Source organism: Homo sapiens, chromosome 16, assembly GCF_000001405.40.
Source record: "Homo sapiens chromosome 16, GRCh38.p14 Primary Assembly".
Classification (NCBI taxonomy): domain Eukaryota; kingdom Metazoa; phylum Chordata; class Mammalia; order Primates; family Hominidae; genus Homo; species Homo sapiens.
In genome coordinates this window covers 56,887,446-56,901,717 of record NC_000016.10, presented here as the reverse complement: position 1 = coordinate 56,901,717, position 14,272 = coordinate 56,887,446, and the positions used below count along the sequence as shown (strand labels likewise).

The following is a 14,272-nucleotide window of genomic DNA, read 5'->3' as shown; positions in this document are numbered from 1 at the left end:
CCCAAGTGAGACCAGAAGCTGCTGGGGGTCTTCTGTGCGATGTGACTCACATCATTAAAGACAGAGATTTAGGGCTGGGGCCGGGCACAGTGGCTCACGCCTGTAATCCCAGCACTTTGGGAGGCCGAGGCGGGCGGATCACCTGAGGTCAGAAGTTCGAGACCAGCCTGGCCAACCTGACGAAATGCTGTCTCTACTAAAAATACAAAAATTAGCTGGGTGTGGTGGCACACACCTGTAATCCCAGCTACTCAGAGGACTGAGGCAGGAGAATCACTTGAACCTGGGATGTGGAAGTTGCAGTGAGCTGAGATGGTACCACTGTACTCCAACCTGGGTGATGGAGTGAGACTGTCTCAAAAAAAAAAAAGAGAGAGAGAGATGTAGGGCTGATTGGCATTCAGATGATGCTATCTGAAGCCACAAGGATGGATGAGCTCACCTGGGACAGAGTAAATGGAGAGAAGGGAAAAGGGTCAGGGCCAAACCCCAAGGATGCCAGCAAGGGCGAGTGAGGTCAAGGATGAAGAACCAGCAGACGAACTGGAGGAAGGGCCCCTGATGCAGGAGGAAACCAGTGGAAGGGGTGTCTTGGAAGCCAAAAGAAGGAACGGTCTCAAGAAGGATCACTGTCAAGTGCAGCTGAAAGGTAGAGAGAGAGAGGACTCTGTGGGTGTGGCAACGTGGAGGTCACTGATGATGCTGGCAAGAGTGGTCTCAGACAGCGGGGGCAGTGGGTTGGGAGCGGGAGGATTAGGGGAAGGGAGGAGGGGTCGACAAAGAGTGCAAACATCTTGAAGTCTGGCTGTGCCAAGGAGGAGAGAAATGGTCCAGTTGCTGGAGGCAGATGAAAGGTCAATGGAGGGGATTTTTAAAATAAGATGCTAGGCTGGGCGCAGTGGCTCACGCCTGTAATCTCAGCACTTTGGGAGGCCAAGGCGGGTGGGTCACCTGAGGTCAGGAGTTTGAGACCAGCCTGGCCAACATGGTGAAACCCCATCTCTACTAAAAATACCAAATTTAGCCGGGCACAGTGGTGTGCTCCTGTAATCCCAGCTACTTGGGAGGCTGAGGCAGAAGAATTGCTTGAACCTGGGAGGCAGAGGTTGCAGTGAGCTGGGATTGCGCCACTGCACTCCAGCCTGGGTGACAGAGCAAGACTCTATCTCATAAATAAATAAATAAATAAATAAATAAAAATCAGATGCTAGATGGGGTCTGTATGTTGCTCCTGCTGTCTCTTCTTCCTGGAAGATCTCCCTGATCTCTTTTTGATCATCAAGGCCAGCCTTTCGCAAGGCTTTGCTTTTCCACCAACAGAGACAATCCTACTCTCCTTGGCACCCTGATCTGTCTCTGCAGCATTGCAACTGCCCTTGGCTTTCACCAGCCTGCAGCCATGCTTGGAGGATGGGGCTGCAGATTCCTCATCTCTGCCTCTGCAGCACCAAGCACAGCTCCTAACAAATGGTTGGAGCCAATGTATGCATCACTATTACACAGCTCCTTTCTGCTTGTCTTGATTTCCTTCCCTGTCCAGATGGGGGACATCCTTACGGCTGGGAGACGTAAGAGAAAAGTTAGGGCTAGGAGGTCAGGAGGAAACATACCTTAGTGAGGAGACAGTCCTGGAAAACCTCACGCACACTGATTGACAAAATACAAATCCTGTTTGTAAATGTCTTATTTGAAGAAGACGGAGTTATACCATTTGGAAAGCAAACAGTCCCTGCTGAACCTGCCATTGGTCACTGCTACAAATTCACACAGGGGTTTGCTTAAAATCTGTGCTCTTGCCCTTGCGTGGAAGGAGGAAGGAAGTTGTTGCCCAGGTCACTCACCTTTTCCCCTCTCCCAGCACCAATGTGTTAACACAATGTCAGGGGCTGCAGCCGCCTTGCCCTGTGGTCCCCTCAGCCCCAGGGAGGGGACAGGCCCCGGCCACAGCCACTGCAGAAGTTGTGCCCTCTGACACATCTAGGAAGGGCTTGGAGGAGAGACCCTTGCTCCTAGTCTACCAAGGAAAAAGGGGGCAGCCGGCAGAGGGGTCTCCAGGCACACAGTTGGCCCTTCTGCCTGGAAGCCCCAAAACAGAACTTACTGCTCAGCCCGAGGGTTCTGGTTGATGTCAGGGAGGATGTGGACTTCATGGAATCCCAGTCGGAACTTGCTCAGCAGAGAAATGATCCTGGAGGACACATGGAGGGTTTATTGTTATTACTTTTTCTTGAGACAGCGTCTTGCTCTGTCTCCCAGGCTGGAGTGCAGTGGTGCAATCTCGATTCACTGCAACCTCTGCCTCCCAGGTTCAAGCAATTCTCATGCCCCAGCCTCCCGAGTAGTTGGGATTACAGATGTGTGCCACCACGCATGGCTAATTTTTGTATTTTTAGTAGAGACAGGGTTTCGTCATGTTGGCCTCGGGTGATCCTGCCTCGGCCTCCCAAAGTGCTGGCATTATAGGCTGGAGCCACCATGCCCAGCCTGAGAGTTTTAAAAATGTATTTATTCATTCAACTAATTTTCACTGAGCACCTACTGACTACATAGCAGTGAGGAAAATAGATCAAAGCCTGCGCTTGTAGAACATGGGGGTAGCGGCAGACAGGAAACGAATACCCACAAAATGGGTTAGATGATGACAAGTGAAACGGAAAAGTAATTGACCAGACTTTCCCAAGTATCTGGTGGCCATCTCTGTACTAGCGCACCCCAAATTTTCACATGTCTACGCATCTGCTGAGGATCTTGTTACCACGCTGATTCTGATTCGGCTGGTCTGGGGTGAGGCCTGGGATTCTGCATTTCTAACACACTCCCAGGGGATGCAATGCTGCTAGTCCACAGACAACACTTTGAGTAACAAAGGTCTAAGGAATAGGAAAGTTGAATAAAGGAAATTCTAGAGCGGCTGAGGAAGCGAAGATAACCCACAAGAAACTAGGTACAGACCCAGGAGTAGCAAGACAGATGGCACTGACTTTGCATCTAACAGGGAAGGAGAAGCCTACTGTGGTTTGTAGCAGTCAGGGAAGACTTCACAGAGGTGGCGGTCTGGCTGGACGGTGAAAGAGGGGTAAGATTGTTACAGGCCAAAGCGGGTGGGGCAGGGGAGGGTCTACACTAACATTACCCAAGAAGCCTTCAAAACAATACACCTGGCCGGGCGCAGTGGCTCATGCCTGTAATCCCAGCACTTTGAGAGGCCGAGGCAGGTGGATCACGAGGTCAGGAGATCAAGACCATCCTGATTAACACAGTGAAACCCCGTCTCCACTAAAAATACAAAAAATTAGCCGGCCGTGGTAGCAGGTGCCTGTAGTCCCAGCTACTCGGGAGGCTGAGGCAGGAGAATGGTGTGAACCTGGGAGGTGGAGCTTGCAGTGAGCCGACTGCACTCCAGACTGGGTGACAGAGCAAGACTCCATCTCAAAAAAACAAAACAAAACAAAACAAAACAAAACCAAATCAAACTAACAAAAAAATACACCTGCCTGGGCCCTCCCCCCAACCCCTTGCCCATCATTGAGTCAGAACCCCTGGGAAGGACATGGTTTTGGTAATGCCCCAGGTGATTCTGATGTGCCAGCCTGGTTAGGGACCACTGGACTGGTTGGTGGGGAACAGTCAAAAGGAGGGAAGGCATCGGGGTGCAGGGGGGTGGAACAGGGCAGTGAGGAGCTGGCTGGGATGCATGGAGTGTGCTGGGAGAGAGGAAGAAATGGGAAACAAGTCTGGAGGACCAGGCTGGGACCCAGCAGGCAAGCCGTTGCTGGTCCCTGATCTTGGGGAGTGAAATTTTGAAAGCAGAGCCGTGGGCAGATTTGTCTTGGTGTGCAGTAGCAGCGGAGGCTGGCAGGCCTGGGCAGTGCCTAGGCAAGGGCAGCATAGACTTGCCCCAGGATTATGTAGAGAGCAGAGGATGCGGCCCACCAAGGGACAGAGGGAGGCAGAGGAAGGGTTACCTAACCTTCCCACCAAGGACATGCTGTTAGCCCAGGCTTCCATAGCCTTGAGCTATACCAAACCTACTGAACCCAGCTTCCATTCAGAGCCAGGACAGGGAGCAGAGACTGCAGAGCAATCTCGTATCTTATTTACTTTTTGGAGATCACAGAGAAGGCAGATGCTGCTTTTCCCAAGCAACACTTTCCTTAGCATTGCAGAAAAGGGGCTTTCCCAGGAGAAAGTTCTTAGTGGGGGTGAGGACAAAGTGATAGGATTGCTGGGTTTCCCTTAACTCACACTGCGGGTGATAGAGAATGGAGCACGGGAGGCCATCCTGGCATAGGACCGGGTGGTGTAGGCTGGGGGATCCCCTCCTACTCTGACCCTGGGGCATCACAGCCAAGATAGTTGCAAAGGGCACTAGAGACCGGGCAGGGGTTCTTCTCTTTGGCTAATTAATTGGATGACTTTGGGCAAACTGCCCCATCTGTCTGTATCCTCCAGCCAACCTCCAGCCTACCACCTCCCACCTCACCTGAACTTGCTCAAAGCAGCAGCTGCCCAATTCCACCTGCCGACATCTGTCAACTCCATACTTGTGTGCCACCTGCCTTACTATTTACTTCCTTTTCTCTTTAAACCAACTCACATTCTGAATTAGATACTTTTTTTTTTTTTGAGATGGAGTCTTGCTCAGTTGCCCAGGCTGGAGTACAGTGGCACAATCTCGGCTCACTGCAACCTTCGCCTCCCAGGTGTAAATAATCCTCCTGTCTCAGCCTCCTGAGTAGTTGGGACTGCAGGCACATGCTACCATGCCAAGCTAATTTTTGTATTTTTAGTAGAGGTGGGGTTTCACCATATTGGTCAGGCTGGTTTTGAGCTCCTGACCTCAGCTGATTCACCCACCTTGGTCTCCCAAAGTGCTGAGATTGCAAGCATAAGCCACCACGCCTGGACCAAACTTAGATACATTTCAAAGGGAAATTTTATATCATGATAAAATATTATTATTTAAAAAATAGAGATAGCATCTGTTCTTTCACCCAGGCTAGAGTGCAGTGGTGCAATCATAGCTCACTGCAGCCTTGATCTGGGCTCAGTGATCCTCCTGCCTCAGCCTCAAGTGGCCAGTACTACAGGCACATGCCACCATTCACAGTTAATTTTTTTTTTAAGTTTTTTGGTAGAGATGGGCTCTCACTATGTTGCCCAGCCTGGTCTCAAACCCTTGGCCTCAAGCAATCCCCTGCCTTGGCCTGCTGCCAGAGTGCCAAGATCTATAGGCAGAGCCACTGTGCCCAGCCAACATCACAATTTTAAACAGAAAACCAGCACCTCTTGCCAGGGAGAGGTGTCCAATAAAACCCATGTCGATAAACCAGGGTCACTAAGTTCTGGCCAGATGCCATTGCCTGCCAAGCCCATGCATCCAGCCTACTCCTCTTGCTCCGGGAGACAAGCACAGGTTACCAAAGGGAAGGACGGGCCAAGGCTAAACCAGGACTTTCTGCAGAATCAGCCCCAGAATTGGAGGAGAATTAAAAGGCACTTCTCACCAAAAGACTCAGTGGTATTTGCTGCCTCAACCCCTGGCCACTAAAGTCACCTCTTGTCTCACCCAGAGTCTGCATCCCATGCATTGGAGACACTGCCTTAAAGCAGGGGCCCCTGACCCCCGGGGCTGCCAACAGGTACTGACCATGGCCTGTTAGGAACCGGGTGCATGGCAGTGAATGCAGCTTTATCTGTATTTACAGCAGCTCCTCATCGCTTTCATTACCATCTGACCTCTGCCTCCTGTCAGATCAGCAGTGGCATTAGACTCTTAGAGGGCCACAAACCCTCTTGCAGGATCTTAGAGGGCCATGAACCCTCCTGATGATCTGTCACTGTCTCCCATCACTCCCAAATGGAACCATCTAGTTGCAGGAAAACAAGCTCGGGGCTCCCACTGATTCTACATTATGGTGAGTTGTATCATTTTTAAATTATATGTTACCATGTAATCATAATAGAAATAAAGTGCACAATAAATGTAATGAGCTTGAACCATCCCAAAACCACCACTCTCCCCCAAGCCTGTGGAAAAATTGTCTTCCACGAAACCAGTCCCTGGTGCCAAAAAGGTTGGGGACTGATGCCCTAAAGGATTCTAGCCCCTACTTCATTTCTCAGGAGGAGGCGTGTTCTCCAGCCTTCATTTCCTTTTTTCAAAAAATTATATATAAATTTTTAAATATATATAAAATATTTATATAAAAATTTAAAATATTGGCTGGGGGCAGTGGCTCACACCTGTAATCCCAGCACTTTGGGAGGCTGAGGTGGGTGGATCACTTGAGGTCAGGAGTTCGAGACCAGCCTAGCCAACATGGCGAAACCCCATCTCTACTAAAAATACAAAAAAACTATCTGGGCATGGTAGCGCACGCCTCTAATCCTGGTTACTAGGGAGGCTGAGGCAGGAGAATTGCTTGAACCCAGGGGGCGGAGGTTGCAATGAGCCGAGATTGCGTCACTGCACTCTAGCCTGGGTGACAGAGTGAGAATCCATCTCAAAAAAAAAAAAAAAAATTAAAATATATAAAAATTTAAAACATAGAGACAGGATTTTGCCATGTCACCCAGGTTGGTCTCGAACTCCTGGACTCCTGGATCCAGCTGCCTTGGCCCAGCCCATCCTTCATTTCATACAGGTTCCTCCTGGAGGAGATTTGTTTTTTGTTTTTCTTTTTATCTTTTTTTTTTTCTATTTTTCTTGTCTTTTCTTAACTTTAAATTTAAAAAATGGATTCCTTTTCTTTCTTATTTTTATGCTTCTTGTTATCCAAACCCAGAGATTTGTGACTTTACAACCTAACTCCCCTCCCTGTCGTAGCAAAGCCTAGGGCATCTGCATTTATTGAAGGGGGCAGGAAACCAGAACAACTTCTGGAATGGAGAGAAACCTGCTCCTGCTCCTGCCCACTGCCATGGCCTGGAGAGAGCTGGCCCTGGGCTTTGGGACAATCTCAGTGCCCACCTGGGGGTGGTGGTAGAGGATCTAGGGTAGGGGACAGCCTTGGGTGGAGCTAAGATGACACTGGTCCCTGCAGTCACCCCCAGGCCAGCCCTCCACACTTACGCCTTTCTCTCCTGGTCCATCCTGTTAATCTGGCCGCCTACGAACACACGGATCTTGCATTTGCTCCACCTCCTCTTGCGGCCAAGGAGATAGGGAATGAGGAGGGTGAGGCCTGGCAAGGAGAGTCCCCGTGAGTCATGACAAGAATACACTCAGGACAGAGCACTATGTGAGTTCCTGCCCCGCTCTGCCATTAGCAAACCCCTTCCTCTCCTCGCTGGACCCCAGTCGACCCATCTGTATAATGAACATGGCTGACTGAATTCAAGTCGCACACGGTGCTCTGTGGGGTAGGGTTTATTTGTGCTTGTGCAGCATATTTAAATAAACAAGCTGGCGGCCGGGCGCCATGGCTCATGCCTATAATCCCAGCACTATGGGAGGCCGAGGCAGGTGGATCACCTGAGGTCAGGAGTTCAAGACCAACCTGGCCAACATGGTAAAACCCTATCTCTACTAATAACACAAAAAATTAGCTGGGCCTGATGGTGCACACCTATAATCCCAGCTACTCAGGAGGCTGAGGCAGGAGAATCACTTGAGCTCAGGAGGCAGAGGTTGCAGTGAGCCGAGATCACACCATTGCACTCCAGCCTGGGCAACAGAGTGAGACTCCATCTCAATAAATAAATAAATAAATAAATAAATAAATAAATAAATAAATAAATAAAATAAAAATAAAAATAAAAATACAAAAATTAGCTGGGTGTGGTGGCAGCCGCCTGTAGTCCCAGCTACTCAGGAGGCTGAGGCAGGAGAATCGCTTGAACCCAGGAGGCGGAGGTTGCAGTGAGCCGACATCATGCCACTGCACTTCAGCCTGGGCGACAAAGTAAGACTCCGTCTCAAAAAGAATAATAAAAAACAAAAGTCATTTAATAATTGAGGAGTTTCACATAAAAATCGAGGTCATTGGCAGTTCTTGAAGAGTGAATATTTGACCAGCGTGTGGGAGCCCTCATCCCTCTCTGTTGTCTCTCCACACAAGACCAAGGGCCAGCTGTCACATATCACCTTGTAATCCTCTGTGCCTCATTTTCCTTATTTATAAAGCGGAGTTAATCATGACAGCTCCTACCTGGGGACTGGATTAGGTAGGGAATTCCCTGTCAGCCAGGTAGTAAGTGCTCAGCCTATTTTGGCAGTTATTAATAGGACTCGTTCCATTGGAGCGAAGACATTTTCTTTCTATCTGTGACTCTATCAAAGGTAGGAGCAATAAAGCTTAAAGTCACTTTTTTTGTTTTTTAATGGGAGAGGTTATATTTCATTGTGAAGTGAAAAATATTCCTCCAGCTTTCCTGGGCACCGCCCATCTCCCCATTTATATCACCTGCCTGTGCCCCTAAGGGCCATCCAGTCAGAAGTTTCCATCTCATGGCGACTTCAGCTCTTCTCTCAAAGCTTCCCATTTTATAACCAAAAAACTAGAGGCCAGACAGAGGGGTCCCTCTGGGCTCCCCTGAGCTCACTGCTGGGCCCAGGAGCCCCTGTCCCCTTTGAGAGCAGGCCAGGAAGGAGAAGGAAGGAAGACCACCACCACCCCGCCCCCGCCGGGCAGGAGGGCTGATCCAAGGGGGTCACTGACCTCCATCGTCAAAGAGCCAGTAGATGTCTATGGTCTTCTTGCCCTGCTCCGACTGGAAGATGGTGGTGGCCTGCTCCTCCTTCACCAGGGCCTTGGGGTCCACTGCAGGAGGTGGGGGCGGGTCAGAGCAGAGCCAGCAGCCGCGCATCCAGGCAGGCCTGGCCCAGGGCCCCGCCAACGCCCCTTCTGATGTTGAACACGGGTTCTCTGGCAGGTGGAACAGGAACCGGGGCCCAGGACGCTCAGTGCTGTGATGTGCCCCTGCCCTGCTTTCAGCTTCTCTCTCCCGGGATTCTGGTGAGTACTGGGGGTGGGGGCAGTCCCAGAGCCCTCTGGGTAGGTAGGGAAGTGCACTCTCCATTCCCTTAAACACCTCCTGCACCCTTCACAAATGCCCACAGCAGCCCTCCCGCCTGCACTTCAGGCCCCCTGTCTCCCGGAGTGATGGTGGGAGAGGACGAAGGAAAATCCCACCCCACCCTGCATGGCTAGAGGGGCCTTGGCAGGGGTGGGACAAGGGCCCCAGAGCCTGCTAGGTGGGTCCCCATGATGCCGTGACCCTGAATTCTCCACCTCCTGGCAATATTTTTTCTTTTTTTGAGACAGGGTCTCACTCTGTCACCCAGGCTGGCAATGTAGTGGTGCGGTCACAGCTCACTGCAGCCTGGAACTCCTGCCTCAGCCTCCCACAGTGCTGGGATTACAGGCATGAGCCACTGCGCCTGGCTGCTGGCAATCTTTGACACGGCCAAGCCCCTCCAGTTCCCAACTCCAGTTACTCAGGCACCACCGTCACAAGAAAAAACCACCTGTCCTCGACCAAGTTCCCAAGTGGCCCACCCCTAGCCACCCCACAGGGCTAGAGTGCCCTGAGCTCTGAGTGGGAACACTGACAAGCGCCAGAGACTGATGGCCTGGCACCTCTGGCGCTGGCTTCCTTCCCGTCCTCCGCTGGGTCAAACACGGGGTTAACTGCAAAAGAAGAGGCAGCTTTGTTCACAGGCTCTCCTTGTCTGAGGGCACCGTGGGTTCCTCCTTGACAGGGCTCCCTTAATGCTAGGAAGAAAGTCCCGATGCCCCACCTGGCCTCCACAGCCCCACTGCACCTGGCCTTGGCCTCCCTCTGACCTGCCTCCTGCCCGGCTCCTCACATTCCAGTCGCGCATGGCCTCCTCTTGCCCCTCAAACAGGCCACGTTCATCCCCACCTTGGGCCGTGGCGGTGGGTGCGCCCTGAGCTGGAACATACTTCCCCTAGCCCTGGCCTCCTCAGCAAAAGGCCCCCTCCTGAGGGAGGCCTTCCCTGGCCACTACGCCCTGCACCCGTTTTCTCCAGACACTCTCACAATCTGAAATAACTTATGGGTCCACTGGCAAGTGTCTGCTTTTCCCTCTGGAGCGTCAGCTTCTCAAGAGCAGAGGCTTTTTGGCTTTTGGTGTGCCTGTAACCCCAGCACCAAGAGCAGCGTTGGTCAGGAGTGGAGTTACTGCTCTGTAAATATTGGTGGCATCCGTGTGCCAGACATGCCCTCAGCAATGGCACAAATGAACGGACCCAGCTCCTGGCTGCAAGAGACGCGGACTCCAAGCTCCCAGTCTCTCCAGCACTGCCTCTCATTTGTTGCCATACACGTTATTGCTTTCACACCTCTAGATATTTCCTTTTTTTTTTTTTTTTTTTTTTGAGACAGGGTCTTGCTCTGTCAGCCAGGCTGGAGTGCAGTGGTGCAATCACGGCTCACTGCAGCCTCAAACTCCTGGCCTCAAGCGATCCTCCCATCTCAGCTTCCCAAGTAGCTGAGACTCCAGACACGTGCCACCACACCTGGTTAATTTTTTGTTTTAGTAGAGATGGGGTCTTGCTATGTTACCCAGGCTGGTGTTGAACTCCTAGACTCAAGCGATCCACCTGCCTCAGCCTCCCAAAGTGCTGGGATTACAGAAACGAGCCACCACACCCAGCCTCTCTAAATATTTCTAATTCAGAGTCTGCAGTCATATATGACTTTAAAATGCAAAACACATCCCTACTCAGTGGACCAAAATGCCCGGTTCCCATGGTCATTATGTATTTTCATATTCTGGCATCTTCCTGCAGGCATTTTCCTCTCCCCTCTTTCCTGGTTTTCTATTACATCTTTTTTTTTTTTTTTGAGATGGAGTCTTGCTCTTGTCACCCAGGATGGAGTGCAATGGCGCGATCTTGGCTCACTGCAACATCCACCTCCTGGGTTCAAGTGATTCTCCTGCCTCAGCCTCCCAAGTAGCTGGGATTATAGGTGTGCACCACCCTTACACCCAGCTAATTTTTGTATTTTTAGTAGCAACAGGGTTTCACCATGTTGGCCAGGCTGGTCTTGAACTCCTGACCTCAGGTGATCCACCTGCCTTGGCCTCCCAAAGCGCTGGGATTACAGGCGTGAGCCACCATGTCCGGCCTATATTAGATCCTTTTGCCCCGACCCAATTGTGATTTGGGGAACCCTGAGTTCCAGTCCTGGCTCTGCCCCACCTGGGAAGCATGACCTTGAATGCGTTGCTTTCTCTTTCTGGGAAAACTGATGGGCTCTAAGGGACCATTAAGAGGCGACTTTCTATGAGTCTGTAACCTTTTATTTCTTACTCATTTTTCCCTCTGCCATTTAAAAACAAAAAATGTGTTCTAGAACTTTCTGGGAGTGGGTGGGGCATGTACTCACTGTGCGCCTGCATCATCTTGGACACGTTGAGTCCCTCCCGCATCCTCATGACACACACGCCATAGTTGAAATCAAAGGCATCACTGGAAAGAGAGGAGGTGAGGTCCAGCTTCTCCCCCAGCTCCCACTGGGGAGGTGACCTGGCACCCAGGAGACCAGATATCTAGAGTTGGCTCTGCTTCCTACCACGCCCTTTCTGTTCTCTGGGCCTCAGTTTCCCCATCTGTATCCTGTACAGGCAGAATTGGAGAGTACCCCAGGACTCCTCCAGCTCTACAGTCTGTGGCACTGTGGATCCTGCAGATCCGGTACTCAGGGGAACCAAGTCAGCCCTGTCCTCCTGATACATTTGGATAATCCCCCACAACTCAACTCTGCCCATGGAGGTGGGGATGGTAATTATTCCCTCCATTCTATGGATGCAAAAACTGAGTTTTGGAGAGTAACTTGCCCATGGTCACACAGCTAAGGGAGTGAGCAGCTGGGATTAGAATCACATGGCTGAGACTGTGGACCAAAGGACAGACATGCTCATGAGAGGAGCTTTACTCCTGCAATAGGCTGTCTATAAAGATGTCTGGAGGCCGGGCGCAGTGGTTTACGCCTGTAATCCCAGCACTTTGGGAGGTCAAGGCAGGCGGATCACCTGAGGTCAGGAGTTCGAGACCAGCCTGGCCAACATGGCAAAACCCCATTTCTACTAAAACGTACAAAAATTAGCCGGGCGTGGTGGTGGGCACCTGTAATCACAGCTACTTGGGAGACTGAGGGAGAATTGCTTGAACCTGGGAGGCAGAGGTTGTGGTGAGCCAAGATCGCACCATTGCACTCCAGCCGGGGCGACAGAACAAGACTCTGTCTCAAAAATAAATAAAATAAAATAATTAAAGATGTCTGGAAGACTCTTGTTCCAAAGGTGTATGTACTGCCTGATTGACACAGTGCCCAAGAGCCCGCCCACCACTGGGGTTTGGGCCAATGGGCTGCGCACTGCCCTCCCTGGGCTCCTTAGATCACATATCTCCAGGACAAGGAACTTTCAGGCCCTGCTTTTTGAAGGTTTGGAATGTTGGAGCTGGAGGGAGGCTGGAGATCAGGTATTCTATCAGTTGCTGCTGTAATTCTGTTAGCACCTGCTGAGAGGATTGCTCCGAGTCCTACAGCTGGTTAACAGCATACCTGGAAGCAGGTCTCAGGGCCCCAACCCTCAGCCTCATGTTGTTCAGTGATACCTCACACAACAACATCAACACAGAAAAGCCACTGAGGGAGGCATCTCTGGACATCACACAGCAAGCACTGATGAAGAGTTTGGAGTCAGCCCTGAAGTCCCCAGGGAGTTCCGTCCTCAGGTCCTGGTTTCACTTCCCTGTTCAGGGGCACCGCCTCAGAGCTCTTGAGCTGGTTCCCTGTGCACCTTCTGGAGCCCACAGGGAGGCATGAGGTTCTCACCTAAAAACTCACATTTGCAGTTACTCTGAAAAATTAAAAGATCTGGTGGCCGGGCACGGTGGCTGACGCCTGTAATCCCAGCACTTTGGGAGGCCGAGGTGGGCGGATCACGAGGTCAGGAGATCGAGACCATCCTGGCTAACACGGTGAAACCCCGTCTCTACTAAAAATACAAAAAATTAGCCGGGCGTGGTGGCGGGCGCCTGTAGTCCCAGCTACTCAAGAGGCTGAGGCAGGAGAATGGCGTGAACCCGGGAGGCGGAGCTTGCAGTGAGCCGAGATAGCGCCACTGCACTCCAGCCTGGGCAACAGTGTGAGACTCCGTCTCAAAAAAAAAAAAAAAAAAAAAAAAAAATTAAAAGATCTGGCAACATTGGGCCCACATTTCTGCACGGGCACTAGAGCCCATTCTGCATGGACACGAGCCAAGTAGGAGCCACTCTCTCTGGGTTGCCACAGTCTCCACTGCTCCCTATCACCCCTGGCCTGGCCCACTTCACTCATGGTGCTACCTGCCTGGCCCCAGCTGGCTTTGGTGTCCATGACTCACAGGTCAGAGACGGGCATCTTCAGCCTCAGCGTGTTTCTTCTTTAGCTTTGAGAAAATGGACTCAACTTCTTTTTCAAAGATGGGGTCTTGCTCTTTCGCCTAGGCTGGAGTGCAGCAGTGCAATCTTTGCTCACTGCAGCCTTCAACTCCTGGGCTCAAGTGAGCTTCCTGCCTCAGCCTCCCAAGTAGCTGGGACTACAGATGCCAGCCACTTTGCCCAGCAGGACTCAACTTTTTAAGCACCCACTACTTCTTTTCCACTTCTCAAGGCCCAATGGGCCCAAATTAACAGACCCCAAGCCCCTTCCTCTCCCCCGACTCACTGGAGGATGCCAATGTAGTCTTCCACTGTGGCCGGGTGAGCCGACTGCCAGTTCTTCTTGAACCCAACCACCAGAATGTTGGGCTTCATTCTCCCGAGACCTGCGGCCTGCCAGGGGATAGGGGTGAGATGGGGAACCCATCAGAGGGGCAGAGTTGGTGATCCACCTGGCCAGAGCCCCAACTTTCTGATGTCTCCAGATGTGCTGATTCTCAAAAAAAAAAAAAAAAAAAATATATATATATATATATATATATATAATCTTAAAAATTTTTGTTTTGCACAAAACAAAACTTTATTGGGAGAAAGATGACTGATGGGAGGAAATATCTGAATTCCAGAATCCTCGATTCTAGTTCTCGCTTGGTCACCAACACCCTACATCCCTCCCAGTGCCCCCAAGAGTTAGAATTGGCCAAGGTGACACAAGCCCCCACAGGCTTCCAAGTCAGTTTCCCAGGTCCTGGGCATTCCGAGAAAGTGCCCAGAACCAGCACATCTGGAGACATAAGAAAGTTGGGGCTCTGGCCAGGCATGGTGGCTCATGCCTGTAAACCGAGCACTCTGGGGGGCTGAGATAGGTGGAT

At 51.2% G+C, this 14,272-nt stretch overlaps 1 protein-coding gene across 4 annotated transcripts in view, besides 2 other annotated features; it reads right to left on the bottom strand.

Moving 5' to 3' along the window:
- The window catches only part of SLC12A3 (solute carrier family 12 member 3), a 50,644-nt gene that overhangs the window by 14,133 nt on the left and 22,239 nt on the right, over positions 1-14,272 (bottom strand). For 2 of the 4 annotated variants that reach the window (NM_000339.3, NM_001126107.2), the window contains exons 18-23: positions 13,687-13,793; positions 11,362-11,444; positions 9,558-9,635; positions 8,664-8,765; positions 7,076-7,187; positions 2,102-2,188 (exon numbers count right to left, since the gene is read on the bottom strand). In NM_000339.3, the coding sequence (NP_000330.3) occupies positions 2,102-2,188; positions 7,076-7,187; positions 8,664-8,765; positions 9,558-9,635; positions 11,362-11,444; positions 13,687-13,793 (569 nt within the window). The remainder of the gene's footprint in view (positions 1-2,101; positions 2,189-7,075; positions 7,188-8,663; positions 8,766-9,557; positions 9,636-11,361; positions 11,445-13,686; positions 13,794-14,272) is intronic. The other 2 variants (NM_001126108.2, NM_001410896.1) reach the window with 1 other exon arrangement.
- Positions 2,886-2,935: an enhancer, noted in NCBI's record as "active region_10857". NCBI's record gives its function as "activates an Ori minimal core promoter by ATAC-STARR-seq in GM12878 lymphoblastoid cells {active_cell/tissue: GM12878}" and the evidence as "EXISTENCE:reporter gene assay evidence [ECO:0000049][PMID:35858748]".
- Positions 8,322-9,053: an enhancer, noted in NCBI's record as "H3K4me1 hESC enhancer chr16:56926577-56927308 (GRCh37/hg19 assembly coordinates)". NCBI's record gives its function as "activates a minimal SCP1, AML or CMV promoter by ChIP-STARR-seq in primed H9 embryonic stem cells {active_cell/tissue: H9 hESC(primed)}" and the evidence as "EXISTENCE:reporter gene assay evidence [ECO:0000049][PMID:30033119]".